The sequence below is a fragment of the Homo sapiens genome, chromosome 4, assembly GCF_000001405.40.
Source record: "Homo sapiens chromosome 4, GRCh38.p14 Primary Assembly".
In the NCBI taxonomy this organism is placed as follows: domain Eukaryota; kingdom Metazoa; phylum Chordata; class Mammalia; order Primates; family Hominidae; genus Homo; species Homo sapiens.
This window is the reverse complement of record NC_000004.12, coordinates 2,841,694-2,859,142: the sequence shown is the minus strand read 5'-3', so window position 1 is coordinate 2,859,142 and position 17,449 is coordinate 2,841,694. Positions and strand designations below refer to the sequence as shown.

The window sequence follows — 17,449 nt, the reverse complement described above, 5'->3', positions numbered from 1 at the left end:
TCTTTTTAATCCACCTGGGATTTATTTTGATGAATGGTATGTTTTCCAGCTATCACATCATCAACAATCCCTTCTCCCCACAGACATAGAGGCGCAGGGCCCAATGATGCAGGTTTTGACTTTGTACCAGCAACGCCCTACGATCACTTCATAGGCTTATTGTCTTCTGTACTTCAGTTTCCACATTTGTAATAAAATACACTCGGTGATATGTTCCCAGGTTGTTGGGGCAATTAGAAATAATAAATGTAAAATGTCTAGCACAATGTCTGGCACATAGACGTCCCATAATAGTAAATATGTTTATTATTCTTTGTTTGTTGAGCCATGGTCTCACTACGTGGCCAAGGCTGGTCTCAAACTCCTGGTTTCAAGTGATCCTCTGACCTCAGCTTCCCAAACTGCTAGAAATACAGGCATGAGCCACTGCCTGGCCTTGGGTGTGGTTTTGGAAATGACTGAGTGAAGCAACTAAAGATAAGCCAACCATCTGTTTAACTGAACAAATGTGAGTGAACTTTAATGCACCCTATCCTGTTTATATTTCCAAAATCTGTCTGGTATCACTAGTGCAGAAAAGAATCTGGTTTGGGTGTTTATCAAAATTCCACCAGCCTTGCAATGCTGATTAATAAATGTGCTCAATTCCTATCTATGGTTTATAGTCTAAGGCCAGAGAACCCAGGTTCTGATCCCAGTTCACTAAACCGCGTAACCTTAGGCACATTTCTTCATCTCTGTCTATTTCAGTTTCTTCATCTGTAAAATGAGAATCATTATCTACTTCCTTGGTTTAAGATTAAACGAGTTAACTTATGTCAAGTGTTTAGCACAAGGTACATAGTAAACAGTAAGTGGTAGCTATCACTATTATTATTAGCAGTAGCAGCAATAGCATCATCTTTAAAGACTGACTGAATCTCTTTAAAAAGGACACCAGAAGAACATTCTGTAATGGACACTAATTAACTGTCTTTCTTGGTATTTGCAGGGGGACACATATCTCCACCACATAGTAGAGTTCCCTCCTAGAGGCTGTTATCACGGCTTCGTATGGTCATTTTTTTAATCCAACTGCCAGACTGCAAGCTTACTGAAGGCAAGAGCTATTACAATGCTTTACTTCCAATATTCCTAACACAATGCTCTGAATGCAGCAGATCTTAAATAAATGCTTATTAAATTACTAAAATAAAAAAAAAGCAATGAGACAGAACCTTAGAAGCATGTATTTTCTGCCCCAGAAGGAACTTTAGAAGTCATTTTACAGATGCTAAAATAGAGTTCCAGAACAAAGTAATGATTTTACCAAAGTCTCGTATACTGGCCATACTGGAGTCAGTTCCCCTGTATCATGGAAAACACACCAACACACCTCACTCACTCCCTGGGCTGTCAAACCGTGCACTTTGGAACCAACCTCACACTGAATACACCTTTTGTACATTTTAAACTAGTGCCCAATCACTATTTCCATTTGGAGACCTCAACTAAGGCAAATACTTGAAAATCCCTACCACTCAGATTTTCTTTTTGAGACAGGGTCTCATTCTGTCACCCAGGCTGGAGTGCAGTGGCACAATCTCAGCTCACTGCAACCTCCACCTCCTGAGCTCAAGTGATCCTCCCACCTCAGCCTCCTGAGTAGCTCAGACCACAAGTGCACCCCATCATGTCCGGCTAATTTTTGTATTTTATGTAGAGACAGGGTTTCGATTTACCCACACTGGTCTCAAACTCCTGGGCTCAAGCGATCCTCTAACTTCAGCCTCTTGAGTAGCTGGGACTCTGAGACTGCAGGAGCACCACCACACCTGCTAACTTTTAGAATAAAAGAAATTTAAATTGAATTTTTAGGTCAAAAAATGAGTAACAGCTTAGATACAAAGAGGAATTTGCGAATTAAAACACAGCTTTGAAAAAATTGCCCTGGCCGGGTGTGGTGGCTCACGTCTGTAATCTTAGCACTTTGGGAGGCTGAGACAGGCAGATCATGAGGTCAGGAGTTCAAGACCAGCCTGGCTAACATGGTGAAACCCTGTCTCTACTAAAAATACAAAAAATTAGCCAGGCGTGGTGGCATGAGCCTGTAGTCCCAGCTACTCAGGAGGCTGAGGCAGAAGAATTGCTTGAACCCAGGAGGTGGAGGTTGCAGTGAGCTGAGATGCCGCCACTGCACTCCAGCCTGGGCGACAAAGCAAGACTCCATCTCAAAAAAAATAAAAAATAAAAAATAACAGAATAAGAACGTTGGCTGGGTGTGGTGGCTCACACCTGTAATTCCAGCACTTCGGGAGGCCAAGGTGGGCAGATCACCTGAGGTCAGGAGTTTGAGACCAGCCTGGCCAACGTGGTGAAACCCCATCTCTATTAAAAATACAAAAATTAGCCAGATATGGTGGTGCACGCCTGTAGTCCCAGCTACTTGGAGGCTGAGACGAGAGAATCACTTGAACCCAGGAGGTGGAGGTTGCAGTGAGCAGAGTTCATGCCACAGCACTCCAGCCTGAGCAACGGAGCAAGACCCCGTCTCAGGAAAAAAAAAAAAAAAAAAAAAACTCTAGTAACCATTTACTTGAGTAACATGCAGAAATAATAAATAGGGAACAGTAAATATTCCAAAAGAAAATGGCTGACAACTTCCCAGAGCTGAAAGACATGAATCTACAAAAACCAAGCAAAATAAATAAAGATAAATCCATACCTTACACACATTGTAATGAATATGCAGAATAGCCAAGGCCAAAATAAAGAAAAGAAAATTCTAACAGAAGCCAGAAGAAAAAAAGACAGATCACCTACAAGGGAATAACAAACCGACTACTGCCAAACTTGCCAACAGAAACAACAAAAGTAGAGAGCAGTAGGATAACTCCAAAATGCTGAAAAGAAATAACTGTCAATCTGGATTTCTATATCAAGCAAAATTATCTTTCAAGAACTTAGGTGAAGGTTGGGAGTGGTGGCTCATGCCTGTAATCCTAGCACTTTGGAAGGCTGAGGTGGGAGGATACTTGAGCCCAGGAATTCAAGACCAGCCTGGGCAACATAATAGTAAGACTCGTCTCTATTTTTTTTTTTTTTTTTAAAAAAGAACTTGTGTGAAATAATTTCCGAGTAGCTGGGACTACAGGCATGCACCACCATGCCCAATGGTGGTGCACGCCTGTAATCCTAGCACTCTGGGAGACTGAGGCAGGCAGATCTCGAGTCCCAGAGTTTGAGACTAGCCTACACAACATGGCAAAACCCTGTTTCAACAAAAAAATACAAAAAATAGCTGGTCATGGCGGCATGTGCCTGTAGTCCCAGCTACTTGGGGGCTGAAGTGGGAGGATCACTAAAGCTCAGGAGGTCAAGGCTGCAGTGAGCTGTGATCGCGCCACTGCACTCCAGCCTGGGCAACAGAGTGAGAACCTGTCTCAAAAAAAAGAAAAGAAAAAAACTTGTGCACTCCAGTCTGAGTGTCAGAGCAAGACTGTGTCTCTTTAAAAAGAAAAAAAAAAAGTCTGGACTAAAACACTGAACAACAGCAGCATGTAACTTGAGAGTTGAATAATTGGAATTAAAGAACTTTCATGCCTTTGCTGTATCTAGGAGGGCGACAGAATATTAGTTTTAGACTTCGTTAAATATGCATAGCAAAATTTCAAGGGTAATCACTAAAAGAATATTAAGAGTATGTCATTTCCAAACCAAAAGATGGAAGAATATAAAGAAAAACAAACAACTCCCAGTTGTTTAAAAAGGCAAGCATGGGGAGAAAAGACAAACAGAATACAAAACCTAAGATGATAAAGAAAGTACAAATTTATCTGAATCATAACATAAATGTACTAAATTATGCCAGTTAAAAGACAGAAATTACAGGTAACTTATAAGAGACACTCTTTTAGTAAGCTGAGTAACGGTCCCCAAGTTAACAGGTCTGAATAATGCCTGGAACCTGTAAATATTACTTTATATGGCAAAGACTACAGATATAATTAAGTATTTTGGGATTGTGAAATTATCCTGGATTACCTGGGTGGGCCCTGAATGTAATCACCAGTATCCTTATAAAATCGAGGTGGGGGAGATTTAACCACACAGAAGACAAGAAACCAATCTGACCTGGGTCACAAAGATTGGAGTGATGCAGCCACAGCCAAGGAATGTGGCAGCCATGAGAAGCTGGAAGAGGCGAGGAACAGATTCTCCCATACGACCTCCAGAGGAAGAATGCACAGCCCTAGTGACACCTTGATTTTGGTCCAGTGATATTGTTTTCAAACTTCTGGCCTCCAGAACTATGAGAGAATAATTTCTGCTGTTTTAAAGCACCACGTATGTGGTAACTTGTTACAGGAGCCACAAAAAACTAATATACCCATGAAACAGAACACAGACAGTCTGAAAATAAATGGACAAAAATACAAATACCAGGCAAACACCAAACAAAACAAAGCTGGAGTAATTATATTAATATCAGACAATGAAGACCAAGAAAATAAAAGCATTTATTCGGAATGGAAAAGGCCATAAACCTAAGTACAGCTCAACAGGAAGATGAAAAGTATAAGGTTATTCACACCTAATAAAATACTGTCAACATATATGAACCAAAAATTGCTAGAACTCACAGAGAAACTGACAAATCTACCATAATGAGATTACCATAATAATCTACCACATTGCTCAAGTCAGTAACAGTAAATAGGAAATATGAGCAATGCAAGCAAAAAGTTAGATCATTAGAGATATACAGAACCTTGCACCTCCCTTTCTCACACAAATTAAATACATATTCTTTCTTTCTTGCTTGCTTGCTTGCTTTCTTAAGATGGAGTCTCATTCTGTCGCCCAGACTGGAATGCAGTGGCATGATCTTGGCTCACTGCAGCCTACGCCTCCTAGGTTCAAGCAATGCTCCTGCCTCAGCCTCCTGAGTAGCTGGTATTACAGGCGTGTGCCACCACACTGGGCTAATTTTGTTGTATTTTTAGTACAGATGGGGTTTCACCATGTCGGCCAAGCTGGTCTCAAACTCCTGATCTCAGGTGATCCGCCCACCTCAGCCTCCTAAAGTGCTGGGATTACAGGCATGAGCCACTGCACCCAGCCCATATTCTTTAGAATACAAGGAATGTTTATAAACATTCATGTCATATCTGGCAATAAAGAAAATCACAACAAATTCCAGGGAATCAGCAGCACACAAGCCATTTCTCCGGGTGCAATGCAATTAAAACATAATAACGGCCAGACGCGGTCGCTCACGCCTTTAATCCCAGCACTTTTGGAGGCCGAGGCAGGTGGATCACCTGAGGTCAGGAGTTCAAGACCACCCTGGCCAATGTGGTGAAACCCTGTCTCTATTAAAAATACAAAAACCAGCCAGGCGTGGTGGCGGGCACCTGTAATCCCAGCTACTTGGGAGACTGAGGGAGGAGAATCGCTTGAACCTGGGAGGCGAAGGTTGCGGTGAGCCGTGATTGCACCATTGCACTCCAGCCTGGGTGACGAGAGCAAAACTCAGTCTGAAAGAAAAAAAAACAACATAATAACAGAAGAGTTTCTTCAAACCATATATTTAGAAATTTAAAGGTACATTTTAAAATAATTTATGGGCCAAAAAAGAAATCATAATGAAAATTTAAATATACATTACTAACAAAAATATTACAGTTGGAAACTATTGGCTTCACTAAAGAGATGCTTCTAGAGAGCTATATAGCCTTAAACACTTATACTAGAAAAAGACGCCGGTGGCTCACACCTGTAATCCCAGCACTTTGGGAGGCTGAGGTGGGCAGATCACCTGAGGTCAGATGTTTGAGACCAGCCTGGCCAACATGGTGAAACCCTTATCTCTACTAAAATTATAAAAATTAGCTGGGTGTGGTGGGCGCCTATAATCCCAGGTACTGGGGAGGCTGAGGTGGGAGAATTGCTTGAACCTGGGAGACAGAGGTTGCAGGGAGCCAAGATCGTGCCACTGCACTCCAGCCTGGGCAACACAGTGAGAACCTGTCTCAAAAAAAAAAAAAAAAAAAGTAAGTGACCAACTTCTAAAAAGTTACAGAAAGAACAGAGTAAAACCCAATCTAGCAACCTGTACATTCATTATGCTTTAAACACTATATGTAATTTGTATCCTTAAAACAACTCTGATGGTTAGATTACAGCTATTTCCACAGCTACAAATGTCCTGCTTATCTGAGTTTAAAAGCACCTTCAGGCCTGCCTGGGCAACATAGCAAGGCCTTGGCTCTACTAAAAAAAAAATTTTTTTAGTTAGCTGGGTGTGGTGGGGTGGGTCTGCAGGCCCAGCTGCTCAGGAAGCTGGGTGGGAGGACTGCTCGGGCCCACGAGGTCAAGGCTGCAGTGAGAGCCAAGATCGCACCGCTGCACTTCAGCCTGGGTGACAGAGCAAGACTCTGTCTCCAAAAAAAAAAAAAAAAAAAGATATTTCCTGCTTTACAAACAGTACAGAAAACACCTAGTACAGAAAATAGAAGACACTGAATGCTGCAGACACCCTAGGTCAGTGACATTGCTGGTGATTCTGTTGTCAAAGTATGTGTGCTTCAGTCCCTGGAGACGTTGCTCAGAAAAAAACTGAAATGGAGTATCTGCGAAACCCCATCTCTACAAAAACACACAAAAATCAGCCGGGTGTGGTGCTGTGCACCTGTAATCCCAGCTACTCAGTACGCTGGGGCACAAGAATCGCTTGAACCCGGGAGGCGGAGGTTGCAGTGAGCCAAGATCGCACCACTGTACTCCAGCCTGGGCGAAAGAGCGAGACTCTCTTTCAAAAAAAAAAAAAAAGAAAGAAAAGAAAAGAAAAAAAAGAAAAGAAAAGAAAAGAAAAGAAAAGAAGGAAGGAAGGAAGGAAGGAAAGAAAGAAAGAGAAAGAAAGAAAGAAAGGAAAGAAAGGAAAGAAAGGAAAGGAAAGAAAGGAAAGAAAGAAAGAAAGAAAGAAAGAAAGAAAGAAAGAAAGAAAGAAAGAAAGAAAGAAAAGAGGCCGGGTGCTGTGGCTCATGCCTGTAATCCCAGCACTTTGGGAGGCTGAGGCGGGCAGATCACCTGAGGTCAGGAGTTCGAGACCAGCCTCAACATGGGGAAACCCCGTCTCTACTAAAAATACAAAAATTAGCCGGGCGTAGTGATGCATGCCTGTAATCTCAGCTACTCGGGAGGCTGAAGTAGAATTGCTTGAACCTGGGAGGCGGAGGTTGCGGTGAGCCGAGATCGAGCCATTGCGCTCCAGCCTGGGCAACAAGAGCGAAACTCCATCTCAAAAAAAAAAAAGAATAAAAACTGAGTATCCGGATGGTGGGGGTCATCTATTTCCCCCCTAAAGACTGGTCAATTAACATCACATCCCTTCCTACTGAAGGAGACACTCAGACCAAAAGGGAGTTCATTCTATGAGACTAAAGACCATTCCTAACCTTCCTTCCTGCCTGAAGCCCTATGTGACAATAACTTGAATAACTTGATTAATGGTATCATCTGGCAACAAGGTTGGCCTTTTAAGAAAATCTTAGAAAGCATGGTTTAACCACAAAGTTCCTACTAAACTGCAAACACATGCAGCTGTATCAGACAAAAAAATACCTCTACATAGGCTTTATTTTGAGAGAGAGGGAGAGACAGACAAAAAAGAGCTACAAGGCTCTCTATTGCATCTTCTGTGTCTTTCCCTCTTAAGGCCTGCTCCTCCATCCTCTATGTTCTGGAAAAGAAGGAAAGAAAGCACACTGACAGAATCCTCACATACTGTAAGCATTGTAAGTTTGCTTACCACAGCCTCACACCTCCAGTTAGATATGACTGTTATTATTATTACTCCTATTTCTGCAGATGAGAAAAATTAGTTCAGAGAATTTCACCATTTTGATCCAGGGCCACACATCTTGAGTGGCAACATTTTTAAAAATTAGCCAGCTGTGGTGGTATGCACCAGTAGTCCTAGCTATTCCGGAGGCTGAGGTGGGGAGGATTACTTGAGCCCAGGAGTTCCAGGTTACAGTCAGCTATGATTATACCACTGTTCCCCAACCTGAACAATAGAGCAAGACTGTCTCTAAATGAAGTATACAGAGTTTTAGTGTATTCAGAGTTGTGTAACTAATCATCACAATCTAACGTTATAACATTTTCAACACCCAAAAAGAAACCCCATACACATTAGCAGTCATTCCTCATTCCCACTCCATTCTCCCCAGCTGGAGCCCCAGTCAACCCCAAATCTACCTTCTGCCTGTATAGATTTGCCTACTGGGGGTCAGGTACAGTGGCTCACACCTGTAATCCCAGCACTTTGGGAGGCCGAGGCGGGTGGGTCACTTGAGGTCAGGAGTTCAAGACCAGCCTGGGCAACGTGGTGAAACCCCATCTCTACTACAAATATAAAAATTAGCCGGGCGTGGCCAGGCGCGGTGGCTCACGCCTGTAATCCCAGCACTTTGGGAGGCCGAGGCGGGCGGATCATGAGGTCAGGAGATTGAGACCATCCTGGCTAACACGGTGAAACCCCATCTCTACTAAAAATACAAAAAATTAGCCGGGCATGGTGGCAGGCGCCTGTAGTCCCAGCTACTCAGGAGGCTGAGGCAGGAGAATGGCGTGAACCCGGGAGGCAGAGCTTGCAGTGAGCCAAGATCGTGCCACTGCACTCCAGCCTGGGCGACAGAGCAAGACACCGTCTCAGAAAAAAAAATCAGCCGGGCATGGTGGCACACACCTGTTCCCAGCTACTCAGGAGGCTGAGGCAGGAGAATCGCTTGAACTTGGGAGGTGGAGGTTGCAGTGAGCCAAGATCGCACCACTGCACTCCAGCCTGGGCAAGAGAGTGAGATTCAGTCTCACAAAAAACAAAAAACAAAAAGATTTGCCTATTGAAGACATTTCACATAAGTAAAATCATGAAGCACATGGTCTCTTGTGTCTGGCTTCTTCCACTTAGCATGTTTTCAGAGTTCATCCATGTTGTACCAGGTATGAGTGCTTCAATCCTTTCTATTGCCAACTACTATTCCATCGTATGAACAGACCACATTTTGTTGATCCACTCATTAGCTGATGGACATCTGGGGTGTTTCACTTTTTGTCTGTTAAACATAATGCTGCTCTGAACATTCACACACAAGCTTTTGTACGGACATATGTTTTCACTTGGCCTTTGCATTCTCAAAGTGTTTTCACAACATTCTCTCTTTCATGTATTACATGGCTACTTAATTTTCCGATGGAGAAAAGTGAGGCTTGGGGCAGCTAAGTGACTTTCTCACCCACTCAACTACCCTCAGCAAACCACAGTAAACCCATAGTGAAGAGCCAGTACTCCTTTCATAATACCACACTGCCTATGGTTACGGCTCCCTCTCCTGTGAAATAAATTTCAAGCGACAGTGTGCAGATGAGGGAAAACATTTTTTAGGTAAGGAACTCCCTAAATCATTCTCAATACGTTAATCCACAAAGCAAATTTAAATTAAGCCCTTCAGAGTAAGAGAAGGAGAGAAGTGTTTGGGATGGGATATTCTAAAGGTCCCTCCCAAATGATGACTTTCTCCTCCCCATGCAAACAGCCACAGCTGCCATTCCAGGCTGCAGAGGCACACATGTAGTTACATCTACTGCGCCCCATTCCTGAGGCATGCCCTTTCCAGCAAATTTGAGATATACCTGTGGACTCTGTCCCCTAACGTCAGCCCCAGATGCCAGACTCCCTGGGCCCAAGGCCTAGATGCAGAGCTCGTCTGTTCTAATACAGATAACAGTATTTTGGAGGCATATATTGCTCAGATCAATTGTATGAACCCTCTTTCCCAACCTCATGAAGCACTGTCTAGGTTTATAATATTTCTGGTAATAAAGTTCAGAAAAAAACAATAATTATATTAATAATATAAGTCATTTGCTGACAGCTTAGTAGGTACCTTTTGGCATTTACTTCATTTAATCCTCACAATAACCATGTAAGATAGGGACTATTGTTACTTTAGTGTCCATACTTAATTATGTGGAGAAAATACACAGTTGGTAGGAGTATAAACCAACGTAACTTCTTAGGAGGATAATCTGGAAACATCTACGGAAAGTAAAAGTGTAATTACTCTTTGACATGGCAATCTCACTTCTGAGAATGTATCTATAGATATACTTCATAGGTGCCCAAAGATGGAAATGTAAGAATATTAATTGGGGCCAGGAGGGTAATTTGGAAATGTCTATGCAAATGAAAAGTGCAATTATTCTTTGACATAGCAATTTCATTTCTGAGAATGTATTTATAGATGTACCTCATAAGTGCCCAATATGGAGATGTAATATTAATTGGAGCACTGCTTATAACAGTAAAAACCTGGAAACAGGTCAGGTGCAGTGACTCATGCCTGTTATCCTAGCATATTCAGAGGCTGAGACAGGAGGATCACTTGAGACCAGGAATTCAAGACCAGCCTGAGCAACACAGCTCAGGCTTTTGAAACCTTATCTCAAAAAAAAAAAAAAATTAGCCAAGCCTGTTGGCATGAACCTGCAGTCTTAGCTACTTCAGAGTCAGAGGTGGGAGAATGGCTTAAGCCCAGGAGTTCAAGGCTGCGGCAAACTATGATCACATCACTATATTCCCGCCTAGGTGACAGAGCAAGAGTCTGTCTCAAAAAAAATAAATTAATTAAATAAATATATGCTCAACATGTTTAAGCTGACAGTTATCAAAAACAGTGTTACACATTAGTTATAACAACTGTTTAAAAAGGTACTTCTAGAAAAATTAAGCTCAAAAGGCAAACTGTATTAAATGTGCTTCCCCTCATTCCTTTAAACTCAAGGTTCCTCAATGTAGAAAGGCCAGAATAAGCATTAACAATTAAACAACTCTATTAAAGTTTAATATTATGCTATGTTAAGATTCCTATTTTTTTTTTTTTTTGAGACGGAGTCTCACTCTGTCCCAGGCTGGAATGCAATGGCACGATCTCAACTCACTGTAACCTCCGCCTCCTGGGTTCAAGTGATTCTCCCGCCTCAGCCTCTTGAGTACCTGGGATTACAGGCATCCACCACCAAGCCTGACTAATTTTTGTATTTTTAGTAGAGACAGGGTTTCATCATGCTGGCCAGGCTGGCCTCGAACTCCTGATCTCAGGTGATCCACCTGCCTCGGCCTCCCAAAGTGCTGGGATTACAGACGTGAGCCACCATGCCCAGCCTTGCCTCCCACTCTATTCAAAGTCATCCCTTTGCTCACTGAGATAGATGCATATCTGGTTGCCTCCTTAGGAAAGGCTTATCAGAAACTCAAAAGAAGGCAACCATTTGTCTCTCACCTACTTGTGACCTGGAAGCTCCCTCCCTGCTTCAAGCTGTCCCCGCCGTTCTGGACTGAACCAATGTACTTCTAGCATATATTGATTGATGTCTCATGTCTCCTTAAAATGTATAAAACCAAGCTGTGCCCAACCACCTTGGGCACATGTCAATCAGGACTTCTGGAGGCTGTGTCACAGGCACACATTCTCAACACTAGCAAAATAAACTTTCTAAGTTAACCGAGACCTGTCTCAAATTTTCGAGGTTCACGTGTTCATCTTGTTCTGAGACTGAAATGTGTACGGTGTGGGTTGAAACAGTGAGCAAGTAGAACCAAAATGTTTGGCTTAGAAGAAAAGTAGATACAGGTATATAAAAATGAGAAGGTTGAGTAGAATCCTAGTCTTACTTCCTTTTTTTTTTTGAGACGGAGTTTCGCTTTTGTTGCCCAGAATGGAGTGCAATGGCACTGCGACCTCCGCCTCCTGGGTTCAAGCGATTCTCCTGCCTCAGCCTCCCTAGTAGTGGGGATTACAGGCATGCACCACCATGCCCAGCTAATTTTTGTATTTTTAGTAGAGATGAGGTTTCACTGTTGTCCAGGCTGGTCTCAAACTCCTGACCTCAGGCGATCCACCTGCCTCAGCCTCCCAAAGTGCCGGGATTGTGAGCGACCGCACCTAGCTTGTTTTTTGTTTTTGTTTTTGTTTTTTTGAGACGGAGTCTCGCTCCGTGTCGCCCAGGCTACAGTGCAACGGAGCGATCTCCACTCACTGCAAGCTCCGCCTCCCGGGTTCACGCCATTCTCCTGCCTCAGCCTCCCGAGTAGCTGGGACTACAGGCATCCGCCACCACGCCCAGCTAATTTTTTGCGTTTTTAGTAGAGACGGGATTTCACCATGTTAGCCAGGATGGTCTCGATCTCCTGACCTCATGATCCGCCCGCCTCGGCCTCCCAAAGTGCTGGGATTACAGGTGTGAGCCACCACGCTCGGCTTTTTTTTTTTTTTTTTTTTAAAGAGACAGAGTAGTGCAGTGAAGTGATCATGGCTCACTGTAGCCTCGACCTCCCAGGCTCACAGGTTCGTACCATCTTAGCCTCAGGAGCAGCTACGATTACAGGCCCATCCTAGCATGCCCAGCTTCATTGGCTACTTTTGAAGGATATTAGCGAAACAATTCATTATGTGAAACCTAGTAAATAATGGAGAAGAATTAAGCATTTATCCTCCCTTTTCTGTAAGAGATACCTCAAGATAACCAAATAGTGGAGGCATGAAAAATTATCTTTATAAAAATATTCTATTTAATAAAAGAAGTTATAGAATTCAAATATCAATATATTCAATGCTTGCTGAAATGACTGTAGGCACTGACAATCAAGGGCTGCGAACAAAGACTACTAATCATTTCTGCCTACTTACCTAAGAAGTTTGCTTGACAAAAGTAAAGCTGAATCTGATCATACCTTTAGATCTAACCACCAGTTTTCAGTAAATTCTGTGAAACTATGCCACAGAGTAAAATTGAGACTGTGCATAACTCCACATGACAAACTACCAGGTTTCATCCATAAATAAATTACAAGAGAAAACTAAATATGGAGGGGAAACTATCAATTAAAATGAGTCACACTGTATAGATAGCATGTGGATCGATTGAAATTGTTAAGAAAAAAAATGAGAATTCTGACAATTTTAACACTGGCTGGATATTTGAAAGTATTAAGGAATTATTCATTTTCTGTGATAGTGGTACTCATGTTTACCTTTTGTTTAAGTCTTTAAGATATACATATTGAACTATTTAACGGTTAAAGGATATCTAGGACTGCGGGGATATGATGAAGCAAGATTGACTGTTGAAACTGGTTGAGAAAAGGGGTTTATACTATTCTCTCTACATATGTGTATATGTTAAGAGGTAAACATGGAAGGAAAGAAAGGAAGGGCAGTCAATCTAACTCTAAGTTTCAAGCAATAAGTAAATATTTTGTTATCTTTCAAAGCATTTCAGTATTTACTTTTCTTATTCAATTCAAAGACTATAAGAACTAAAAACTAAAAATCATGTAAATAAACAGTTTTTATGGCAAAATCAGTAACACAAAACTGAACACCAAACAAAACCTTCTCAGTATATCAGATAACATCAAAAGAATTAAGGGGAAAAATGACCAGCTTGTACGAAGTATATTTTAGAAGGAAAACTATCTCACAATTCGGGGACTGGCTAGAGTTTAGACTCACATCACTCAGCGACTCTCCGAAACTTTAAAACCTAAAGACACCACAAGTAGAAAACTAACAAATCATACCAGCTGTCCATACCATTGTAAACCACATCGAAACTCTGAAAAGCAGTTTTGACTGCCCAAATCATCCACTTCCTGAAAAGACAACTTTACTATTCTAGTTTTCTCCACTGTCAAAATCAAAGGAGTATATTAAAATTTTAACGTAGGCCAGGCGCGGTGGCTCACGCCTGTAATCCCAGCACTTTTGGAGGCCTAGGCGGACGGATCACGAGGTCAAGAGACTGAGACCATCCTGGCCAACATGGTGAAACCCCGTCTCTACTAAAAATACAAAAATTAGCTGGGCGTGGTGGCGCGCGCCTGTAGTCCCAGCTACTCGGGAGGCTGAGGTAGGAGAATTGCTTGAACCTGGGAGGCGGAGATTGCAGTGACTGGAGATCGCGCCACTGTACTCCAGCCTGGCGACAGAGCGAGACTCCGTCTCAAAAAAAAAAGGTATCATCGCGGGCCTTTGTCCATTCAAGGCTCCAAAGTTTACAAACTCACTTTCATACAATTCACACCCTCTGCCTGAAATGCCCTCCTCTCTCTGGTGCCTGTTGAACTCCTACTCATCCACTCCAAGCTTGTTTTCACTAGGCGCCTCTACTCATAGACACAGTCGACCTATCAGCATTCTATTTCCTATCCCCATTAAGATCTCAGTCAATTTTTCACACAAAAAATCTTTCTTTAACTTACCAGTAATGCATACAGCTATCAGCTATGTCTTTGGTCTTTGGAGATATGACAATTGCTTTTTGTCTTTCTAAACATAAATTATGCTCAAACCAACAACAGTTTCAGGCGAACCAAAATACGTTTTTCAAGGTGGGTATGCATAAAGTGAATGCAAATTACCTCCCAACTATCTTGAGCCATTACAAGAGCAAAGATAAAAGTCATCCTAACAGGGAAAGGCCCTCTGACATCTCCCAAAAAACGAAAATAAAAGATTAAGAAAAAAGAAAAGAGAGGGAGGGCAAAGGTGACCAACAGCCCCATCGCTGATAAAGTTCCACGATTATCTCTCGAGCGTCCGTCGGCAGATATGGCTTTTCTCTTTTGGCAGAAGCCGTCGTTTTTAAATACGAGAGCCGACAGATGCGTCCGTACACAAACCTTGCAGCCACCAGCGCTGCGGACCGCGGAACCGGTCTCACAAGCAGGATGCTGACCAGCGTCCAGCCAGGGTCGTCCTCCTCCGCCCCCACCCCTGCAGCCCACAAGCCGGCCAGGAACGAGCGGCCCGGGAAAAGCCTAGTCCCCGGGGTCCTATCCCGATGAAAGATCTGCGGCGCCCTCGCTCCCCGGCTCGGCCCAGGCCGAAGGCCCCGCGGGGACCCCTCCAAGACGCCCTCGGCGCCGCAGCGGCCTCCCCGCCCCCGAGGCTGCCCGGGCCGCCGCAGGCCCCGCGGCCCCCGCCCGCCGCAACCGCGGCCCAGTTCCCCGCGCCCCCGCCGCCGCCTCAGCCCGAACCGGGCCCCCGCCGCCCCCGCTAGCTAGCCTCACCTCAGAAGCGAATCGTGGGCAGCGCGCGGGATTCCGGGGTCCCAGTGCGGCCACCGCCCGTCGGCTCCGGCTCCGGCTCCGCCCCCGTCCCCTGGCCCGCAGCAGCGGCCCGCCAGGCCTCTCCGCCCCTCAGCCCCTCCGCTCGCCCCCACCGCCCGACCTGGGTGCGGCCTGCGGCGCTGCAGCCCAACAACGCGCCGTCCCATAGGCCAAGCCGCGCAGCACTGCCGAGCAACGTACCCTGCGATTGGCGGGACCCATGAGGGGCGGGTCCCCTGCGGGCAGGGCGATTGGACTCGCCAGGCCCGCCTCGGGGCGACCCCGCCGGGGCCTGCGGAGGCCCAGGGTCCCGCGCGGAGTACACCCCGGCCGGCAGCTTCGGGCGCCAGGTCATGGCTTCACGGTGGCCAGGTAGACTGCGGCGAGCCCCTGCCGGGTCCGCTGGACACGGTTTCATTGTGATTGACCTCCGCCGGAGGGGCTGTCGGAGCCCAGGGACCCTGCCCTCCCGCCGCCGCCCAGCGCACTCCCCCAGCAGACGGGCCCTGCCCCGCGTAGCCCCGCCTTGTGCAGTCCCCAGGCCGAGTTTTGGGGCCCGGGTGGGGTCAAGGCAGCAGGGCCTGTGGGCCCCGATAAGGCTCCACAGAGGACAACTGCCTGGCCCCCGGGCCCGGCCTGCGGGTGCTGAGGAGACCAGCGAGCACCAGCCACCTCCGCACGACCAGGGAGTGAGCCTGCGGGGCTTTGGCAGGACCAGCCTCAGACCAGCACCTTCCCGCACACTGTCCCTCCTGCTGGCGCATCTGACACCCAAAAAAACAAGCAGCGAGACAAATGGGCACGGCTGCTTGTCCTCTTGACACCCATAGAAAGCTTAGGTCCAGAGCTGGGCAGTGGCAGAAGAGTGTGGAATCCAGACCTCCCTGCTCAGCAGGAGCCTCTGTGACATTGCCCCAACAAGGGTCAGGGATACTGTCTGGATGGAAGCCAGCGACCCCTGTTCTAACCATTTCTGTTGGACGTTGGCTTTTCCAAGACGATTTTTCTGACAAGATCACAATTCTGTCTCATTCACTTCTGCTTCCCATAGTTAATCACTAGGGAAACGCAAATCAAAACCACTGTGGGATACCACTTAACATTCATTAGGATGGCAGTTGAAGAAGCAGGGAGTTGGGCGCAGTGGCTTCAGCCTAAAATCCCAGCACTTAGGGAGGCAGAAACAGGAGGATAGCCTGAGCCCAGGAGTTGGCAGACTTGACTGGACAACATAAGGAGACCCTGTTCTCTACAAAAACGAGAAGAAAACAAAAAGTTTCAAGGGGGGAGAAGGAGGAAGAAGAGGAAAAAAAGAAAATAAGTGTTGGCAAAGATGCGGAGAAATTGGAACCCTTTGTGCATCGCTGACGGGAATGTAAAATGGTGTGGCTGCTGTGGAAAACCGTAGAGTGGTTCCTCAAAAAATTAAACATAATTACCACATAATCCAGCAATTCCACTTCTGGATATATACCCCAAAGAAATGAAAACAGCTATTTGTACCATGTTCATAGCAGCATTATGCAGAGAAGGAAATTCTATTTATTGGGGTTTTGTGCCTTTTTTTTTTTTTTTTTTTTTTTTTTGGAGTCAGGGTCTCTGTCGCCCAGGCTGCAGTGCAGTGTTGCAACCATGGCTCACTGCAGCCTTGACCTCCTAGGCTCAAGGGATCCTCCTGCCTCAGCCTCCCAAGTAGCTGGGACTACCAGCACGTGCCAACATGCCTGGCTAATTTTTGTTATTTTTTGTAGAGACGGGATCTCACTATGTTGCCAGGGCTGGTCTCAAACTCCTAGGCTCAAGCAATCTTCCCAAATCCAAACTCAGCCTCCCAAAGTGCTGGGATTACAGGCATAAACCCATAAACCACGATGCCTGGCCAAAAGAAAGGAAATTCTGACGCATGCTACAACATGGATGAACACTGAAGACATGCTATGTGAAATAACCCAATCACAAAAAGATAAATGTATGATTCCACTTGTATGAGGTGTCTAGAGTAGTCAAATTCAGAGAGACAGGAGGTAGAATGGTGGTTGCAAAGGGCTGGAGGAATGGGGATTTAGTGTTTAATGGGTACAGAGTTTAAGCTTGGGGTGATGAAAAAGTTCTGGAGATGGATGGTGGTGATGACTGAACAATAATATGAATATTCGCAAAGCCACAGAACTGTACACTTTAAAATAATTAAAATGATAAACTTTATAATATGAAAATTTTATCATAATAAAACAATTTTAAAGCTATTAAAATATTCCTTCCTTTTCCAACTACAAAAAAGTAAAAAGGTCC

The 17,449-nt window shown here is 44.7% G+C and overlaps 1 protein-coding gene across 17 annotated transcripts in view, besides 7 other annotated features; it reads right to left on the bottom strand.

Moving 5' to 3' along the window:
• Nucleotides 1–15,299, bottom strand: part of ADD1 (adducin 1) — an 86,219-nt gene extending 70,920 nt beyond the window's left edge. For 10 of the 17 annotated variants that reach the window (NM_001354757.2, NM_001354754.2, NM_001354762.2 and 7 more), the window contains exon 1: nucleotides 15,119–15,299. The gene's annotated coding sequence lies outside the window, so the exon portion shown is untranslated. Of the gene's footprint in view, nucleotides 1–14,308; nucleotides 14,994–15,118 lie in introns of those variants that run through there. The other 7 variants (XM_047449581.1, XM_047449579.1, XM_047449582.1 and 4 more) reach the window with 2 other exon arrangements.
• Nucleotides 6,181–6,240: an enhancer, noted in NCBI's record as "active region_21196". NCBI's record gives its function as "activates an Ori minimal core promoter by ATAC-STARR-seq in GM12878 lymphoblastoid cells {active_cell/tissue: GM12878}" and the evidence as "EXISTENCE:reporter gene assay evidence [ECO:0000049][PMID:35858748]".
• Nucleotides 6,371–6,420: an enhancer, noted in NCBI's record as "active region_21195". NCBI's record gives its function as "activates an Ori minimal core promoter by ATAC-STARR-seq in GM12878 lymphoblastoid cells {active_cell/tissue: GM12878}" and the evidence as "EXISTENCE:reporter gene assay evidence [ECO:0000049][PMID:35858748]".
• Nucleotides 14,838–14,987: a silencer, noted in NCBI's record as "silent region_15190". NCBI's record gives its function as "represses an Ori minimal core promoter by ATAC-STARR-seq in GM12878 lymphoblastoid cells {active_cell/tissue: GM12878}" and the evidence as "EXISTENCE:reporter gene assay evidence [ECO:0000049][PMID:35858748]".
• Nucleotides 15,108–15,297: a silencer, noted in NCBI's record as "silent region_15189". NCBI's record gives its function as "represses an Ori minimal core promoter by ATAC-STARR-seq in GM12878 lymphoblastoid cells {active_cell/tissue: GM12878}" and the evidence as "EXISTENCE:reporter gene assay evidence [ECO:0000049][PMID:35858748]".
• Nucleotides 15,358–15,737: a silencer, noted in NCBI's record as "silent region_15188". NCBI's record gives its function as "represses an Ori minimal core promoter by ATAC-STARR-seq in GM12878 lymphoblastoid cells {active_cell/tissue: GM12878}" and the evidence as "EXISTENCE:reporter gene assay evidence [ECO:0000049][PMID:35858748]".
• Nucleotides 15,838–15,887: a silencer, noted in NCBI's record as "silent region_15187". NCBI's record gives its function as "represses an Ori minimal core promoter by ATAC-STARR-seq in GM12878 lymphoblastoid cells {active_cell/tissue: GM12878}" and the evidence as "EXISTENCE:reporter gene assay evidence [ECO:0000049][PMID:35858748]".
• Nucleotides 16,016–16,527: an enhancer, noted in NCBI's record as "NANOG-H3K27ac hESC enhancer chr4:2844343-2844854 (GRCh37/hg19 assembly coordinates)". NCBI's record gives its function as "activates a minimal SCP1, AML or CMV promoter by ChIP-STARR-seq in naive H9 embryonic stem cells {active_cell/tissue: H9 hESC(naive)}" and the evidence as "EXISTENCE:reporter gene assay evidence [ECO:0000049][PMID:30033119]".